Source organism: Homo sapiens, chromosome Y, assembly GCF_000001405.40.
Source record: "Homo sapiens chromosome Y, GRCh38.p14 Primary Assembly".
In the NCBI taxonomy this organism is placed as follows: Eukaryota; Metazoa; Chordata; class Mammalia; order Primates; family Hominidae; genus Homo; species Homo sapiens.
Window position 1 is genome coordinate 11,718,348 of NC_000024.10, and position 18,077 is coordinate 11,736,424.

General features: G+C 37.6%; 7 annotated features.

Annotated features, from left to right (window-relative positions):
• Positions 3,159-3,688: an enhancer, noted in NCBI's record as "OCT4-NANOG-H3K27ac-H3K4me1 hESC enhancer chrY:13842212-13842741 (GRCh37/hg19 assembly coordinates)". NCBI's record gives its function as "activates a minimal SCP1, AML or CMV promoter by ChIP-STARR-seq in naive and primed H9 embryonic stem cells {active_cell/tissue: H9 hESC(naive and primed)}" and the evidence as "EXISTENCE:reporter gene assay evidence [ECO:0000049][PMID:30033119]".
• Positions 3,689-4,217: an enhancer, noted in NCBI's record as "OCT4-NANOG-H3K27ac-H3K4me1 hESC enhancer chrY:13842742-13843270 (GRCh37/hg19 assembly coordinates)". NCBI's record gives its function as "activates a minimal SCP1, AML or CMV promoter by ChIP-STARR-seq in naive and primed H9 embryonic stem cells {active_cell/tissue: H9 hESC(naive and primed)}" and the evidence as "EXISTENCE:reporter gene assay evidence [ECO:0000049][PMID:30033119]".
• Positions 4,237-5,205: an enhancer, noted in NCBI's record as "OCT4-NANOG hESC enhancer chrY:13843290-13844258 (GRCh37/hg19 assembly coordinates)". NCBI's record gives its function as "activates a minimal SCP1, AML or CMV promoter by ChIP-STARR-seq in primed H9 embryonic stem cells {active_cell/tissue: H9 hESC(primed)}" and the evidence as "EXISTENCE:reporter gene assay evidence [ECO:0000049][PMID:30033119]".
• Positions 11,620-12,265: an enhancer, noted in NCBI's record as "OCT4-NANOG hESC enhancer chrY:13850673-13851318 (GRCh37/hg19 assembly coordinates)". NCBI's record gives its function as "activates a minimal SCP1, AML or CMV promoter by ChIP-STARR-seq in primed H9 embryonic stem cells {active_cell/tissue: H9 hESC(primed)}" and the evidence as "EXISTENCE:reporter gene assay evidence [ECO:0000049][PMID:30033119]".
• Positions 12,266-12,911: an enhancer, noted in NCBI's record as "OCT4-NANOG-H3K27ac-H3K4me1 hESC enhancer chrY:13851319-13851964 (GRCh37/hg19 assembly coordinates)". NCBI's record gives its function as "activates a minimal SCP1, AML or CMV promoter by ChIP-STARR-seq in primed H9 embryonic stem cells {active_cell/tissue: H9 hESC(primed)}" and the evidence as "EXISTENCE:reporter gene assay evidence [ECO:0000049][PMID:30033119]".
• Positions 12,912-13,556: an enhancer, noted in NCBI's record as "OCT4-NANOG-H3K27ac-H3K4me1 hESC enhancer chrY:13851965-13852609 (GRCh37/hg19 assembly coordinates)". NCBI's record gives its function as "activates a minimal SCP1, AML or CMV promoter by ChIP-STARR-seq in primed H9 embryonic stem cells {active_cell/tissue: H9 hESC(primed)}" and the evidence as "EXISTENCE:reporter gene assay evidence [ECO:0000049][PMID:30033119]".
• Positions 16,989-17,947: an enhancer, noted in NCBI's record as "OCT4-NANOG hESC enhancer chrY:13856042-13857000 (GRCh37/hg19 assembly coordinates)". NCBI's record gives its function as "activates a minimal SCP1, AML or CMV promoter by ChIP-STARR-seq in naive H9 embryonic stem cells {active_cell/tissue: H9 hESC(naive)}" and the evidence as "EXISTENCE:reporter gene assay evidence [ECO:0000049][PMID:30033119]".

Sequence of the window (18,077 nt, forward strand, 5' to 3'; positions counted from 1 at the left end):
TCGAATGGAGTGGAATGGAATGGAGTGGAAGGGATCCAAATGTTATGGACACGAATGTAAAGGAGTCAAATATAATGGACTTGAAATGAATGGTCTCGAATGGAATTTATTTGAATAGAATGGAATCAAATGGAATGCAACAGAATGGAATGGAATCAAATGGAATGGACTGGAATGGAATGGACTGGAAAAGAACGGACTCCAATATAATGGATTGCAATGCAATTGATTTCAATCTAATGGAATTGAATGGAATGTAATCAAATGGAATGGAATGGAATGCAATAGAATGTAATAGAATGGGATGCAATGGAATGGAACAGAGTGGAATGGAGTGGAATGGAATCAAGAGGAATGGACTGGGATGGAGTGGAGTCCAATGGAATGGACTGCAACAAAATGGAATTGAAAAGTTTTGAATCGAACGGAATATAATTGAATGGAATATAATTGAATGGAATGGAATGGAATGGACTCGAATGAAATGGAATCAAATGGAATAGAATTGAAAGAAATCGAAACGAATAGAATGGAATGGAGTGTAATGGAAAGATATCGAATGGAAAGGAATGGAATGCATTGGAATGGAATGGATTCGACGGGAATGGACTGGAGTGGAATGGACTCGAATGGAATGTACTGGAGTGGAAAGAAGTCGAATGGAATGCAGTGGAGTGGAATGGTCTCAAATGAAATGGAAACTAATGGAATGGAATGGAATGGAATGGAATGGAATGGAATGGAATGGAATGGAATGGAATGAAATGGAATGGAATGGAATCGGGTGGAACGTAATGGAATAGAATGGAGCCGAATGGAATAGAATCGAATGGAATGGCACCAAACGGAATGGAATAGAATAGAATGCAATGGAATGGACTTGAAAGGAATGGACTCGAATTGAATACAATCAAATGGAATGGCATCGAATGGAATGGAATGGAATGAACCCAAATGTAAGGGATTAGAATTGAATGGACTCAAATAGAATGGACTGGGAAGAAATGGTCTTGAATGGAATCTCTTCGAGTAGAACGGAATCGAATGGAATGCAATAGCATGGAATAGAATCGAATGTGTTGTAATCGATTGGAATGGACCAGATTGGAATGGGCTGGAATAGAACGGACTCGAATGTAATGGATTGAAATGCAATTGATTCGAAAGAAATAGAATCAAATGAAATTCAATCGAATGGAATGGACCGAAATGGAATGGACTTAAACAGAAAGGAGTAGATTGTAATGGATTTCAATATAACTGATTCGAATGGAATGGAAACGAATGGAATGTATTCAAATGGAATGGATTGGAATGCAATGGACTGGAATATCAAGTAATGCAATGGAATGCAACTGAGTGGAATCGAATGGATTAGAATCGAATGGAATGGAAGCGAATTGAATGAAATCGAATGGAATAGACTGGAATGGAAAAGATTCGAATGGAATGGAATAGAACAAAATGGAATCGATCGGATTGGAATCGAACAGAATGGAATGGAATGGACACGAATGGAATGAAGTTGAAAGGAATTGAGAAGAATGTAATAGAATCAAATGGAATGGAAATGAATGGAAACCAAAGGAATAGAATGGACTCGAGTGAAATGGAAATATACCAAATGGAGTGGAATGGAATGCAATGGACTCGAATGGAATAGACTCGAATGTAATGGAGTAGAATGGAACGCAACCGAATGGAAAGGAATGGAATGGAATCAAAAGTAGTAGAATGGAATGAAGGGAAATGGAAACACATCGAATGGAATGGAATGGAATGGAATGGAATGGAATGGAATGGAATGGACTCGAATTTAATGGACACGAATGGAATGGATTTGAAGGGAATGGAACCGAATGTAATGGAATCAAATAGAATGGAATGGAATGGAATCACAAGGATTAGAATGGAATAGAGTGTATTGGAAACATATCGAATAGAATGGAATGGAATGGACTCAAATGGACTGGACCGGAATGGTAAGGACTCGAATAGGATGGAAAGTAGTAGAATGGACTCGAATGTAATGGAAACGAATGGAATGGAATGGAATGGAAAGGAAGAGAATGGAATGGAATCTGATGGAATGGAATGCAAGGGAATGGAGTCGAATGAAATAGAATCGAATGGAATGGCATCAAATGGAATGGAATGCAAGGGAATGGAATGGGATGGACTCGAATGGAATGGACTCGAATGGGATAGAATCGAATGGAATGGCAACGAATGGAATGGAATGGATCAAACGTAATGGAGATGAATGGAATGGACTAAAATAGAATAGACTCGAAAGTAATGATCTCGAATGTAATTAATTCAAATACAATGGAATCAAATGGAATGCAGTAGTATGGAATGGAATCAAACGGAATGGAATTGAATGGAATGGACCGGAATGGAATGGAATGGAATAGAACGGACTCGAATGTAAAGAAATGTAATGTAATTGATTCGAGTGGAATGGAATGGAATGGAATTCAATGGATTGGAATATAACGGAATGCAATGGAATGCAACGCAGTGAAATCGAGTGGAATGGAATCGAATGGATTGGAATCGAATGGAATGCAATCGAATGTAATTAACTGTAATGGAATGGACTCGAATGGAATGGAGTGGAGCAAAATTGAATCGTACGGATTGGAATTCAATACAACAGATTGGAACGGAATGGATTGGACTCTTGGAATGGAGTCGAATGGATTGGAATCCAATGTAATGGAAACCAATGGAATGGAATTGTTTTGAATCAAAATGAATATGATGGAATGGAGGGTAAAGGAATATAGTCGAATGGAATGGAATGGAATGGAATGGAATGGAATAGAATGGAAGGCAATGGAATGGAAAAGAATAGAATGGAATGGAATCAGAACGAACGGAGTGGAATGGAATGGATTTGATTGGAATAGAATCGAATGGAATGGCATCAAATTAAATGGAATGGAATGGAATGGAGTGGAATGGACTCCAATGGAATGGAAACGAAAGGAATGGAATGGAAAGGAATATAATGGAAAGCAATCGGTTGGAACGGAACAGAATGGAATGGAGTCGAGTGGTATAAAATCTAATGGGATCTCATCGAATGCAATGGAATGGAATGGACTCGAATGGAATAGAATCGAATGGAATGGCATCGAATGGAAGGGAATGGAATGGAATAGACGAGAATGGAATAGAAACAAACTTCTTGGACTCGAATGGAAAGGATTCAAATAGAATGGACTCGAAAGGAATGGTCTTGAAAGGCATTTATTTGAATAGAATGGCATCGAATGGAATGCAAGAGTACCGAATGGAATAGAATACAATGGAATCGAATGGAAAGGACCAGAATGGAATGGACTGGAATAGAAAAGACTCGAATGTAAAGTATTGCAATGTAATTGACTCAAAAGGAAGGGAATTGAATAGAATGTAATCAAATGGAATGGAATGGACTGCAGTGGATTGGAATAGAATGGAATTCAATGAAATGGAAGAGAATGGAATGCCATGGAATGCAACAGAGTGGAATTGAGTGGAATGGAATCGAATGGAATGGACTGGAACAAAATGGAAAGGAATGGACCGGAATGGAAAGGAACGGAATGGAATGGAATGGAATGGAATGGAATGGAATGGAATGGAATGGAATGGAATGGAATCAACCCGAGTGGAATGGAATGGAGTGGAATGGAATGGAATGGAATGGAATGGAATGGAATGGAATGGAATGGAATGGAATGGAATCAACCTGAGTGGAATGGAATGGAATGCAATGGAATGGAATGGAATGGAATGGGATAAAATGGAACGGAATGCAGTGGACTTGAATGGAACAGACACGAATGGAATGGACTGGAGAGGATTGGAGACAAATCAAAGGAAAAGAATGCAACGGAATGGTATGTAATAGGAAGGAATGTAATAGGGTGAATCAAAATGGAACGAAATGGAATGGAATGGAGTCAAATGGAATAGAATCAAATGGAATGGCATCGAATGAGTGGAATGGAATGGAATGGATACAAATGTTATGGACTGGAATGGAATGGACTCAAATATAATGGACTCAAAAGGAATGGTCTCGAATGGAATTTATTCGAATTGAATGGAATCGAATGGAATGGAATCCAATGGAATGGACTGTAATGGAGTGGTATCGAATGAATGCACTGCAATAAAATGGAATTGAACAGATAGGAATCGAATTGAACGGAATGGAATGGAATGGACTCGAACAGAATGGAGTCAAATGAAATGTAATCAAGTGGAATGGAATCAAATGGAATGGAAATGAAAGGAATAGACTGGAATGAAGGGTAATGGAAAGATATGGAATAGAATGGAATGGAATGGATTGGACTCGAAAGGAATGGACTGGAAAGTAATGGACTCGAATGGAATGGACTGGAGTGGAATTGAATAGAATGAAATGGTAAAGAACTGAATGGAATGGAATGGAATGGAATGGAATGGAATGGAATGGAATGGAATGGAATGGAATCAGATGTAACGGAATGGAAGGGAATGGAGTTGAATGGAATAGAACCAACAGTAATGGCTTCGAATGGAATTGAATGGAATGGAATCGAATGGAATGAAATCTACTGGAATGGCAACTAATGGAATGAAAAGGAATGGAATAGAAAGGAATGGAATGGAATGGAAAGGAATGGAATGGAATGGAATGGAATGGAATGGAATGGAATGGAATGGAATGGAGTGGAAAGGAATGGAATGGAATGGAATCAGATGTAACGGAATGGAAGGGAATGGAGTTGAATGGAATAGAACCAACAGTAATGACTTCGAATGGAATTGAATGGAATGGAATCGAATGGAATGAAATCTACTGGAATGGCAACTAATGGAATGAAAAGGAATGGAATGGAATGGAATGGAATGGAATGGAATGGAATGGAATGGAATGGAATGGAATGGAATGGAATAGACTGGAATGGAATGGAATGGAAAGGAATGGAATGGAATGGAATGGAATGGAATGGAATGGAATGGAATGGAATGGAATGGAAAGGTATGGAATGGAATAGAAAGGAAAGGAATGGAATGCAATGGAATCAGATGGAACTGAATGGAAGGGAAAGGAGTTGAATGGAATAGAATCAACAGTAATGGCTTCGAATGGAATTGAATGGAATGGAATCGAATGGAATGCAATCTACTGGAATGGCAACGAATGGAATGGAATGGTCCCAAATATAATTGAGTCGAGTGTAATGGACTTTAATGGAATGGACTCTAATGCAATTATATCGAATGAAATTCATTCTAATGGAATGGAATCTAATATAACACAATAGTATTTAATGGAACTGAATGCAACTAAATCGAATGGAATGGACTGGAATGGAATGGACTGGAATGGAAGGGACTCGAATGCAATGGATTTCAATGTAATTGACTCAAACGGAATGGAATCGGATGAGAGGTAATCAAATGGAATGGAAGGCATTTCAATGGAATGGAATAGGTTGGAATGCAATGAAATGGAACAGAGTGGAATCGAGTGGAACGGAATAGAATGGAATGGAATCGAATGGAATGGAATCAAACGGAATGGACAGGAATGGAATGGAATCGAAGGGAATGGATTGGAACAAAATTAAATGCAATAGATTGGAATCCGATGGAACGGAATGTAATGGAAGGGAATTTAATGGACTCGAAAGGAATGTAGGCAAACGGAATGGAATCGAATGGAATGGAATAGAATGGCATGGCATTGAATGGAATCGCAAGGAATAGAATGGAATGGAGTGTAATGGAAAGATACTGAATGGCATGGAATGGTATGGAAAGTAATGGACTAGAATGGAATGGAATGGAAAGGAATGGAATCGAAAGGAATGGACTAAAATTGAGTGGAAAGGAACGAAATTGAATGGAAGGAAATGCAAAGGAATAGAAAGGAATGGAAGGGAATGGAGTTGGATAGAACGGAATGGAATGGAATTGAGTCGAGTGGAATAGAATCAAATGGAATAGATACGAATGGTATGGCATCGAAAGGAATGGAATGGAATGGCCCCAAATGCAATGGACTCGAATGGCTTGGAGTCAAATAGAATGGACTAGAAAGGAATGATCTAGAATGGAATTGACTCGAATAGAATGGAATCGAATGTAATGCAATAGTATGGAATGGAATCAAATGAAATGGAATTGAATGGAATGGACTCGAATGTAATGGATTGTAATGTAATTGAGTTGAATGGAATAGAATCGCATGGATTGTAATAAATTGAATGGAATGGAATGGAATGGAATGCAATGGAATGGAATAGATTGGAATGCAATAGAACGGAATGGAGTGGAATCGAGTTAAATGGAATCGAATGGAATGGAATCGAATGTAATGAACTGGAAGGAAATGGACTCGAATGGAATGGACTGGAAAAAAAAATGGAATTGAACGGGTTGGAATGGAATGGAACGGAATGGAATGGAATGCAATGCTCTCGATTGGAATGGAGTCAAATGGAATGGAATGGAATGGAATGGAATGGAATGGAATGGAATCAAATGGAATAGAATAGAATGGAGTGTAATGGAAAGATATCGAATGGAATGGAATAGACTCGAATGGAATGAACACAAATGGAATGTACTCAAATGGAATGTACTGGAGTGGAATGGACTCGAATGTCATGGAAACAAATGGAGTGCAATGGAAAGAAATGGAATGGAAAGGTATAGAATGGAAGGGAATCAGATGAAATGGAATGGAATGGAATTGATTTTAATGGAATAATGTCGAATGGAATGGCATCAAAAGGAAAGGAAAGGAACAAAACGGAATGGACACAAATGTAATGGACTCGAATGGAATGGACTCAAATATAATGGATTCATTAAATATGGTCTCGAATGGAATTTATTCGAACAGAATGGAATTGAATGATATGGACTGGAATGGAATGTATTGTAATGGAATGGACAGGAGAGGAATGGAATAAAATTGAATGGAAAACAATAGAATGGAATGGAATGGAATGGAAATAAATAAAATGGAATGGAATTGGATGGAACGGAATGGAATGGAATGGAATAGAATCGAATGGAATGGAATCAAAAGGAATGGAATGCAATGGAATTGGATTGAACAGAATGGTGTGGAAAAGAATCGAATGGAATATATTTGAATAAAAGTGAATGGAATGAATGGAATGGAATGGAATGGAATGGAATGGAATGGAATGGAATGGAATGGAATGGACTCGAATGGAATGGATTAAAATGGAATAGAACAGAATGGAATGGCATCGAATGGAATGGAATGAAATGGAATGGAATGGAATGGACCCAAAAGTAATGGAATCGAATATAAATGAATCAAATAGAATGGACTCGAAAGGAATGTTCTCGAATGGAATTTGTTCGAATAGAATGGAATCGAATGGAATGCAATAGTATGGAATGGAATCGAATGGAATGGAATCGAATGGAATGGACCAGAATGGATTCCAATGGAATAGAACGGACTCGAATGTAATGGATTGCAATGCAGTTGATTTGAATGGAATGGAATTGAATGGAATGTAATCAAATGGAATGGAACGATATGCAATTGAATGGAATAGAATGGAAGGCAATGGAATGGAACGGAGTGGAATTGAGTGGAATCAAATCGAATGGAATGGAATGGAAGGGAATGGACCCAAATGTAATAGACTAGAATGGAATGGAGTCAAATGGAATGGAATCGAAAGGAATGTTCTCGAATGGAATTTGTTCGAACAGAATGGAATCGACTGAAATGTAATAGTATGGAATTCAACCGAATGAAATGTAAACGAATGGAATGGACTGGAATAGAACGGACGCCAATGTAATGGATTGCAATGTTATTTATTCGAATGGAATGGATTCGAATGTATTATAGTCTAATGGAATGGAATGGAATGCAATGGAATGGAATAGAATGGAATGGACTGGAATAAAATGCAATAGAACAGATTGGAATCGAAAAGAACGGGATAGAATGGAATGGAATGAACTCGAATTGAATACAGTCGAATGGAATGGAATTGATTGGAATGGAATCATTTGGAAAGGATTTGAATGGAATCAAAAGAATAGAATGGAATGGAGTATAATGGAAAGATATCAAATGGAATGGAATGGAATGGAATGGAATGGACTCAAATGGAATGGAATGGAATGGACTCAAATGGAATGGAATGGAATGGCAAGGACTCGAATGGAATGTACTAGAGAGGAGTGTAATGGAAAAGAATGGCATGGAATGGAATGGAATGGATTAGAATGGAATGGAATCGGATGGAACAGAATGGAATGGAATGGATTGGAATGGAATCGAATGAAATGGACTCAAATGGAAGAGAATCAAATGTAATGGCAACCAGTGGAATGGAATGGAATGGACCCAAATGTAATGGACTCGAATGGAATAGACTCAAATAGCATTGATTCTAAAGGAATGGTCTCCAATGGAATGTATTCGAATAGAATGGAATCGAATAGAATGCAATATTATGGAATGGAATCGAATAGAACGGAATCGAATGGAATGGATTGGAATAGATGGACTCGAACGTAATGGATAGCAATGCTATTGATTTGTAAGGAATGGAATCAAATGGAGTGGTATGCTATTTAATGGAATCGAATGGAATGCAATGGAATGGAATGGAGTGGAATCGAGTTGAATGGAATCGAATGTAAGGGAATTGAATGGATTGGAATGGAATGGCCTGGAACAAAAGGGAATTGAACGGATTGGAGTCGAACTGAACGTAATGGAATTTAATGGAGTGGAATGGAATGGACTCGAATGGAATGGAGTCAAAGGGAATGGAACCGAATGGAATCAAATGGAATGTAAACAAATGGAAAGTAATGGAAGGCAATGGAATGGAATAGAATGGAATGCAATGGAAAGGAACGGAGTGGAATCGAGTGGAATTGAATCGAAAGGAATAGAATTGAATGTAATGGCCAAGAATGGAATGGACTTGGGACAAAATGGAATTCAACGGATTGGAATCAAACAGAACGGAATGAAATGGAATGGAACGGAAAGGACTCGAATAGAATGGAATCAAATGGAAAGCAATTGAATGGTATGGAATCAAATGCAATGGAACTGAGTGGAATAGAATTGAAAGCAATGGAAGGCAATGGAAAGATATCGAATGGAATGTAATGGAATGGACTCGAATACAATGGACTGGAATGGAATGGACTCGAATTGAATTGACTGGAGTGGAATGGACTCAAATGGAATGAAATGGACAGGAATATAATGGAATGGATCGGATGGAAGGGATTGGAATATAATGGAGTCAAATGGAATAGAATCGAATGGAATGGCATGAAATGGAACGGAACGGAATGGAATGGAATGGACTTGAAAGGAATGGATTCTCATGGAATACAGTCGAATGGAATGGCATCGAATGGAATGGATTGTAATTTCTTGAAATGGAATGCACCTAAATGTAGTGGACACAAATGGAATGGACTCAAATAGAATGGATTCGCAAGGAATGGGCTCGAATGGAATTCGTTCGAGTAGAATCAAATCGAAGGCAATGCAATAGTATTGAATGGAATCGAATGGAATTCAATAGAATGGAATGGACAGGAATGGAATGGATTGGAATAGAGTGGATACGAATGTAATTAATTGCAATATAATAGATTCGAATGGAATGCAATAGAATGGATTCTAATCAAATAGAATGGAATATAATGCAATGGAATAGAATAGAATTGAATGCAAAGGAATGTAACAGTGCAGAATCAAGAGGATTGGAATCCTATGGAATAGAATCAATTAGAATGGAATAGAATTGAATGGACTGGAATGGAATGGACTGGAAAAAATGGAATTGAATGGATTGGAATAGAAAGGAACGGAATGGAATGGAATGGAATGGAATGGAATGGAATGGAATGGACTCGAAGGGAACGGATTGCAATCGAGTGGAATGGAATCCAATGGAATAGAATCCAATGGAATGGAATCCAATGGAATGGACTGGAATGGCATAGACTCGAATGGAACGGAAAGGAACAAAATGGAATTGAATGGATTGGAATAGAAAGGAATGGAATGGAATGCAAAGGAATGGAATGGAATGGAGCAGAATGGAATGAAATGGAATGGAATGGAATGGAATGGAATGGAATGGAATGGAATGGAATGGATCCAAATGTAATGGAGTCGAATGGAATGGACTCAAATAGAATGGACTCAAAAGAATTGGTCTCCAATGCAATTTATTTGAATACAACGGAATCGAATTCAATGCAATAGTATGGAAAGGAATCAAATGTAATGGAATCAAATGGAATGGATCTGAATGAAATGGACTGGAATCAAACGGTCATGAATGTAATGGATTGCAAAGTAATTGTTACGAATGGAATGGAACCTTATGTTATGGACTAGAATAGAATAGACTGGAATAGAACGGACTCGAATATAATGGATTGTAATGTAATTGATTCAAAAGTAATGTAATAAAATGGAATGAAATGGAAATCAATGGAATGGAAAAGAATGGAATGAAATGGAATGGAATGGATTGGAATTCAGTGGAATGGAATCGAATGGAATGGAATTGAATGGATTTCACTGGAATGGAATGGACTCGAATAGAATTTACGGGAACAAAAAGGAATCGAACGGATTGGAATCAAATGGAACGGAATAGAATGGAATGGGATGGAATCTAATGGAATGGAGTCGAATAGAATGGAAAGAAATGGAAGGGAATAAAATGGAATCTAATTGAATGGAATCAAAAAGAATAGAATGGAATGGAGTGTGAAGGAGAGATATTGAATGGAATGAAACGTAACAAAATGGAATCGAATTGAATGGAATCAAATGGAATGAAGTCGAATGAAATGGACTGGAAAGGAATGTATTCGAATGGAATGGAATGGAAAAAAATGAAATCGAACGAATTGGTGTCGAACTGAATGGAATGGAAAGGAAAGGGGTGGAATGGAATGGATTCGCATTGAATGGATTCAAATGGAATGGATTCAAATGGAATGGAATTGAATAGAATTGAATTGAAAGAAATAGAGTGGAATGGAGTGGAATGGAAAGATATCAAATGGAAATGGATGGAAGAGAATGGACTCAAATGGAATGGATTGGAATGGAATGGACCATAATGTCATGGACTGGAGTGGAATGGACTCGAATGGAATGGAAACGAAAGGAATGGAATGGAATGGAATGGAATGGAATGGAATGGAATGGAATGGAATGGAATGGAATGGAATGGAATGGAATTGGATGGAATGGTGTTGCACGGAATGGAATCGAATGGAATGCCATCGAATGGAATGGAAAGGAATGGACTCGAATGCAATGGAAATGAATTGAATGGAATGGAATGGAAAGGAATGGAATGGAAAGGAAAGAATAGAATGGAATGGAATGGAATCGGATGGAATGGAATGGAATGGAGTCAAAAGGAATAAAATCGCATGGAATGGCATGGAATGGAATGGAATGGAATGGAATGGAATGGAATAGAAATGACTCAAATGGAATGGACTCGAATGGAATAGAATCAAATGGAATGGACTGGCATGGAATGGACTGAAAAAATAATGGAATTGAATGCAATGGATTGCAAAGTAATTGATTCAAATGGAATGGAATCAAATGGAATGTAATCAACTGGAATGGAATGCAATGCAATGGAATGGAATGGAATGCAATGTAATGGAATTGAATGGAATAGAATTTAATGGAATGGTTTTGAATGGAATGGAGTGGAATGAAATGGAATAGAATGCACACAAATGTAATGGACTCTAATGAAATTGAATCAAATACAATGAACTGGAAAGGAATGGTATCGAATGGAATTTATTTGAATAGAAAGCAATCAAAAGGAAGGCAATAGTATGGAATGGAATAGAATGGAATGGAATGGAATGGAATGTACCTGAATGGAATGGACTGGAATAGAATGGACTCGAATGTAATGGGTTGCAATGTAATTGATTCGAATGGAATGGAATCAAATGGAATGTAAACAAATGGAATTGAATGGAATCCAGTGGAATGGAATAGAATGAAATTCAATGGAATGGAACAGAGAGGAATCGAGTGGAATGGATTCGAATGGAATGGAATCAAATGGAATGGACTTCAATGTAATGCAGACGAATGGAATGGAATCAAATGGAATGCAATCCAATAGAATGGAATTGAATGTAATCAAAAGGAATAGAATGGAATAGAGTGTAATGGAAAGATATCGAATGGAATGTAATGGAATGGAATCAAATGGAATGGACTGGAATGGAATGGACAAGAATGGAATGGACTGGAATGGAATGGACGGAAATGGAATCGAAACGAATGGTGTGGAATGGAACTGAAAGTAATAGAATATAATGGAATCGGATGTAACAGAATGGAATTGAATGGAGTCGAATGGAATACAATATAATGGAATGGCTTTGAATGGAATGGAAAGGAATGGAATGGAAGGGACTCAAATGGAATGGACTCGAATGGATTAGAATAGACTGGAATGGTATTGAATGGAATCGAATGGAATGGAATTGACCCAAATGTAATAGACTTGAAAGGAATGGAATCAAATAGAATGGACTCAAAAGCAATGGTCACAAATGGAATTTATTTGAATAGAATGGAATCGAATGGAATGCAAGAGTTTTTAATGGAAACGAATGGAATATACTGCAATGGAATGCACTGGAATATAAAGGACTAGAATGTAATGGACTGCAATGTATTTGATTCGAAAGGAATGGAATAGAAAGGAATGTAATCAAATGGAATTTAATGGAATGCAATTGAATGGAATAGAGAGGAATGTAATGGAATGGAACAGCATGGAATCGAGTTTAAGGGAATCGAATGGAATGGAATCGAATGGAATGGAATCAAATGGAATGGAATGGAATGGAATGGAATCAATTCGAATGGAATGGAATGGAATGGAATGGAATGGAATGGAATGGAATGGAATGGAATGGAATCAACTGGAATGGAATAGAATGGAATGGAACGGAAAGGACCCAAACGTAATGGACTCGAATGGAATAGACGTAAATATAATTGACTCGAAATGAATGTTCTCCAAAGTAATTTATTCAAATAGTATGGAATCGAATGGAATGCAATAGTATGGAATGGAATCAAATGGAATGGACAGGAATGGAATGGATTGGAATAGAATGGACTCGAAAGTAATGGATTGCAATGGTGTTGAATTGAATGGAATGGAATCAAATGGAATGGTATGCAATTTAATGTAATAGAATGGGATTCAATGGAATGAAGTGGAATCGAGTTGAATGGAATCCAGTAGAAGGGAATCGAATGGATTGGACTGGAATGGAATGGTCTCGAATGAAATGTACTGGAACAAAACGGAATCGAACGGATTGGGGTCGAACTGAATGGAATGGAATTTAATAGAATGGAATGGAATGGACTGGAATAGAATGGAATTACCTGGAATGGAACCGAATGGAATCGAATGGAATGTAATGAAATGGAAAATAGTGAAAGGCAATGGAATGGAAAGGAATAGAATGGAATGCAATGGAATGAAATGGAGTGGAATCGAGTGGAATAGAATCGAATGGAATGGAATCGAATGTATTGGAATCGAATGGAATGGACTTGGGAAAAAATGGAAGCGAACGGATTAGAATCAAACAGAATGGAATGAAATTGAATGGAATGGAAAGGACTCGAATGGAATGGAGTCAAATGTAATGAAAATGAATGGTATGGAATTGATTGCAATGGAATTGAGTGGAATGGATTTGAATGCAATGGAGTTTAATGGAAAGATATCAAATGGAATGAAATGGAATGGACTCTCATTTAATTGACTGGAGTGGAATGGAATCGAATGGAATGGACTGGGGAGGAATGGACTCCAATGGAATGGAAATGAATGGAATGGAATGGACAGGAATATAGTGGAATAGAATCGGATGGAACAGAATGGAATGTAAGGGAGTCGAATGCAATAGAATCGAATACAATGGCATCAAATGGAATGGAATGGAATGGAATGGAATGAAATGGAATGGAATGGAATGGAATGGAATGGAATGGTTTGGACTTGAAAGGAATGCATTCTCATGGAATATATTCGAATGGAATGGCCTCGAACGGAATGGAATGGCATGGAATGGAATGGACCCAAATGTAGTGGAAACAAAAGGAATGGACTCAAATAGAATGGACTCGAAAGGAATGGGCTGGAATGGAATTCATTCGAGTAGAATGGAATCGAAGGGAATGCAATAGTATTGAATGGAATCGAATGGAATGGACCGGAATGGAATGGACTGGAATAGATCGGATAAGAATGTAATGGATTGCAATGTAATAGATTTGAATGGAATGGAAAAGAATGGATTCTAATCAAAAGGAATGGAATATGATGAACTGGAATGGAATAGAGTGGAATGCAATGGAATGGAACAGAGTAGAATCGAGAGGATTGGAATCCAATGGAATGAAATCAAATGGAATGGAATCGAATGGAATGGACTGGAACAAAATGGAATTGAATTGACTGGAATTGAAAGGAACGGAATGGAATGCAATGGAATTTAATGGATTGCACTCGAATGGAATGAAGTGGAATCGAGTGGAATGGAATCCAATGGAATGGAATTGAATGGAATGGACTGGAATGGAATAGACTCGAATGGAATGGAATGGAACAAAATCGAATTGAAAGGATTGGAATTGAAAGGAATGGAATGCAATGGAATGGAATGGACTCCAATCGAATGGAGTCAAATAGAATGGAATCGAATGGAAAGGAATTGAATAGAATGGAATTGAATGGAATCAAAAGGTATAGAATGGAATGGAGCGTAATGGAAAGAGATCGTCTGGATTGGAATGGAATAGAACGGACATGAGAGGAATGGACTGGAATGGAATGGACTCGAATGGAATGCACTGGAGTGGAATGGACACGAATGTAACGGAAACGAATAGAATGTAATTTAATGGAAAGTAACAGAATGGAAACAAATCAGATGGAACGAAATGGAATGGAATGGAGTAGAATGGAATACAATCGATTGGAATGGCTTCGAATGAGATGTAATCTAATGGAATGGACTCGAATGGTGTGTACTCAAATGGAATAGAATGGAATGGAATGACATTGAATGGAATGGAATGGACCCAAATGTAATGGAAATGAATGGAATGGAATAAAATAGAATGGACTCAAAAGAATTGGTCTCCAATGGAATTTATTTGAATAGAATGTAATCGAATGGAATGCAATAGTATGGAATGGAATCGAATGTAATGGAATCAAATGGAATTGACTGGAATGTAATGGACTGGAATAAAACTCACTCGAATTTAATGGATTGCAAAGTAATTGCTACAAATGGAATAGAATCGAATGGAATGGACGAAAATAGAATGGACTGGAATACAACGGACTCGAATCTAATAGATTGTAATGTAAGTGATTCGAATGGAATGGAATAGAATGGAATGTAATCAAATGGAATGAAATGGAATTCAATGGAATGGAACAGAATGGAATGAAATGGAATGGAATGGAGTGCAATTGAGTGGAATGCAATAGAATGGAATGGAATCAAATGGATTTGACTGGAATGGAATGGAGTCGAATGGAGTGGACTGGAACAAAATGGAATCGAAAGGATTGTAAATCAATGGTATGGAATGGAATGGAAAGAATTGGACTCTAACGGAATGGAGTCAAATGGAATGAAATGAAATGGAAGGGAAAAAAATGAAATGGAATTGAATGGAATCGAAAAGAATAGTGGAATGGAGAGCAATGGAAAGATATCGAATGGAATGAAATGGAAAAAAAATGGAATCAAATGGAATGGAATCGAGAGGAATGGATTCGAATGAAATGGACTGGAAAGGGAGGTACTCGAATGGAATGGAATGGAACAAAATGGAATGGAACGAATTGGAGTTGAACTGAATTGAATGGAATGGAAAAGAGTGGAATGTAAGGGATTCGAATTGAATGGATTCGAATGGAATGGAATCAAAAGGAATGGAATCGAATAGAATGGAAATGAATGGAATCAAAAGAAATAGAATGGAATGGAGTGTAATGGAAAGATATCGAAAGGAATCATATAAAACGGAATGGACTCGAATGGAACAGATTGGAATGGAATGGATTCTAATGGCATGGATTGGAGCGGATTGGACTTGAATGGAATGGAAGGGAAAGGAATGGAATGGAATGGCATGAAATGGAATAGAATGGAATGGAATTGGATGGAACGGAATAGAATGGAATAGAGTTGAATTTAATACAATCGAATGGAAAGGCCTCGAATGGAATAGAATGGACTCGAATGCAATGGAAACAAATTGAATGGAATGGAATGGAATTGAAAGGAATGGAATGGAAAGGAAAGAGTAGAATGGAATGGAATGCAAACGGATGGAATGGAATGGAATGGAATGGAATGGAATGGAATGGAATGGAATGGAATGGAATGCAATGGAATGGAATCTAAAGGAAAGAACCGCCTAGAATGGCATGGAATGGAATGCAATGAAATCTAATAGAAATAACTCGAATGGAATAGAATTAAATGGAATGGAATGGAATGGAATGCATTGGAAAAGAATGGAATCAAATTTAATGGATTGAAATGTAATTGATTCGAATAGAATGGAATGTAACCAAAGGGAATGGAATAGAATGTAACCAAATGGAATGGAATGGAATGCAATGGAATGGAATAGAATGAAATGCAATGGAATGGAACGGAGTTGAATAGGGTGAAATGGAATTGAATGGAATGGAATCGAAGGGAAAGAAATTGAATTGAATGGAATGGAATCTAAAGGAAAGAAATTGAATGGAATGGACTGGAATGGAATGGACTCGAATGGAATGGCCTGGAACTAAATAAAATCGAACGGATTGGAATCGAATGGAATGCAATGGAATGGAATGGACTCTATTGGAATGGAGTCAAAAGGAATGGAAACCAATTGAATGGAATTGAATGGGATTAAAAGGGGTAGAATTGAATGGAGTGTAATCAAAGTTATTGATGGAATGGAATGGCATGGAATGGACTCGAATGGAATAGTTTGGAATGTAGTGGACTCAGATGGAATAGACTGAAGTGAAATGAACTCGAATGGAATGGAAACTAGCGGAAGGGAATGGAAGGGAATGGAAAGGAATAGAATGAAATGGAATCAAATGAAATGGAATGGAATGGAATGGAATGGAATGGAATGGAATGGAATGGAATGGAATGGAATGGAATGGAATGGAATGGACTCTAATGGAATGGACCCGAAATGAATAGTATAGAATCGAATGGCATCAAATCGAATGTAATGGAATGGAATGGAAGGGAATGGAATGGACCCTAATGTATTGCACTGGAATGGAGTGGACTCAAATATAATGGACTCAAAAGGAATGGTCTCGAATGGAATTTATTCAAATAGAATGGAATCAAACGGAATGCAATAGTATGGAATGGAATTGAATGCAATGGGATCGAATGTAATGGACTGGAATTAAATGGACTCGAATAAAATGGAATCGAACGGATTGGAATGGAATGGAATGGAATGGAATGCACTCGATTGGAATGGAGTCAAATGGAATGGAATGGAATGGAATGGAATCGAAAGGAATAGAATGGAATGGAGTGTAAGGAATGATATCAAATGGAAAGGAATGGAATAGACTCGAATGGAATGAACTGGAACGGAATGGACTCGAAAGGAATAGACTGGAGTGGAATGGACTCGAATGTCATGTAAGCGAATGGATTGCAATGGAACGGAAAGGTATAGAATGGAATGGAGTCGGATGGAATGGAATGAAATGGAATAGAGTCGAATGGAATGACATCGAATGGAAAGGAAAGGAACGGAATGGAATAGACCCAAATGTAATGGAATCGAATGGAATGGACTCAAATACAGTGGACTCGTTAGGAATGGTCTCGAATTGAATTAATTTGAATAGAATGGAATTGAATGGAATGTACTGGAATGGAATGCACTTGAATGGAAA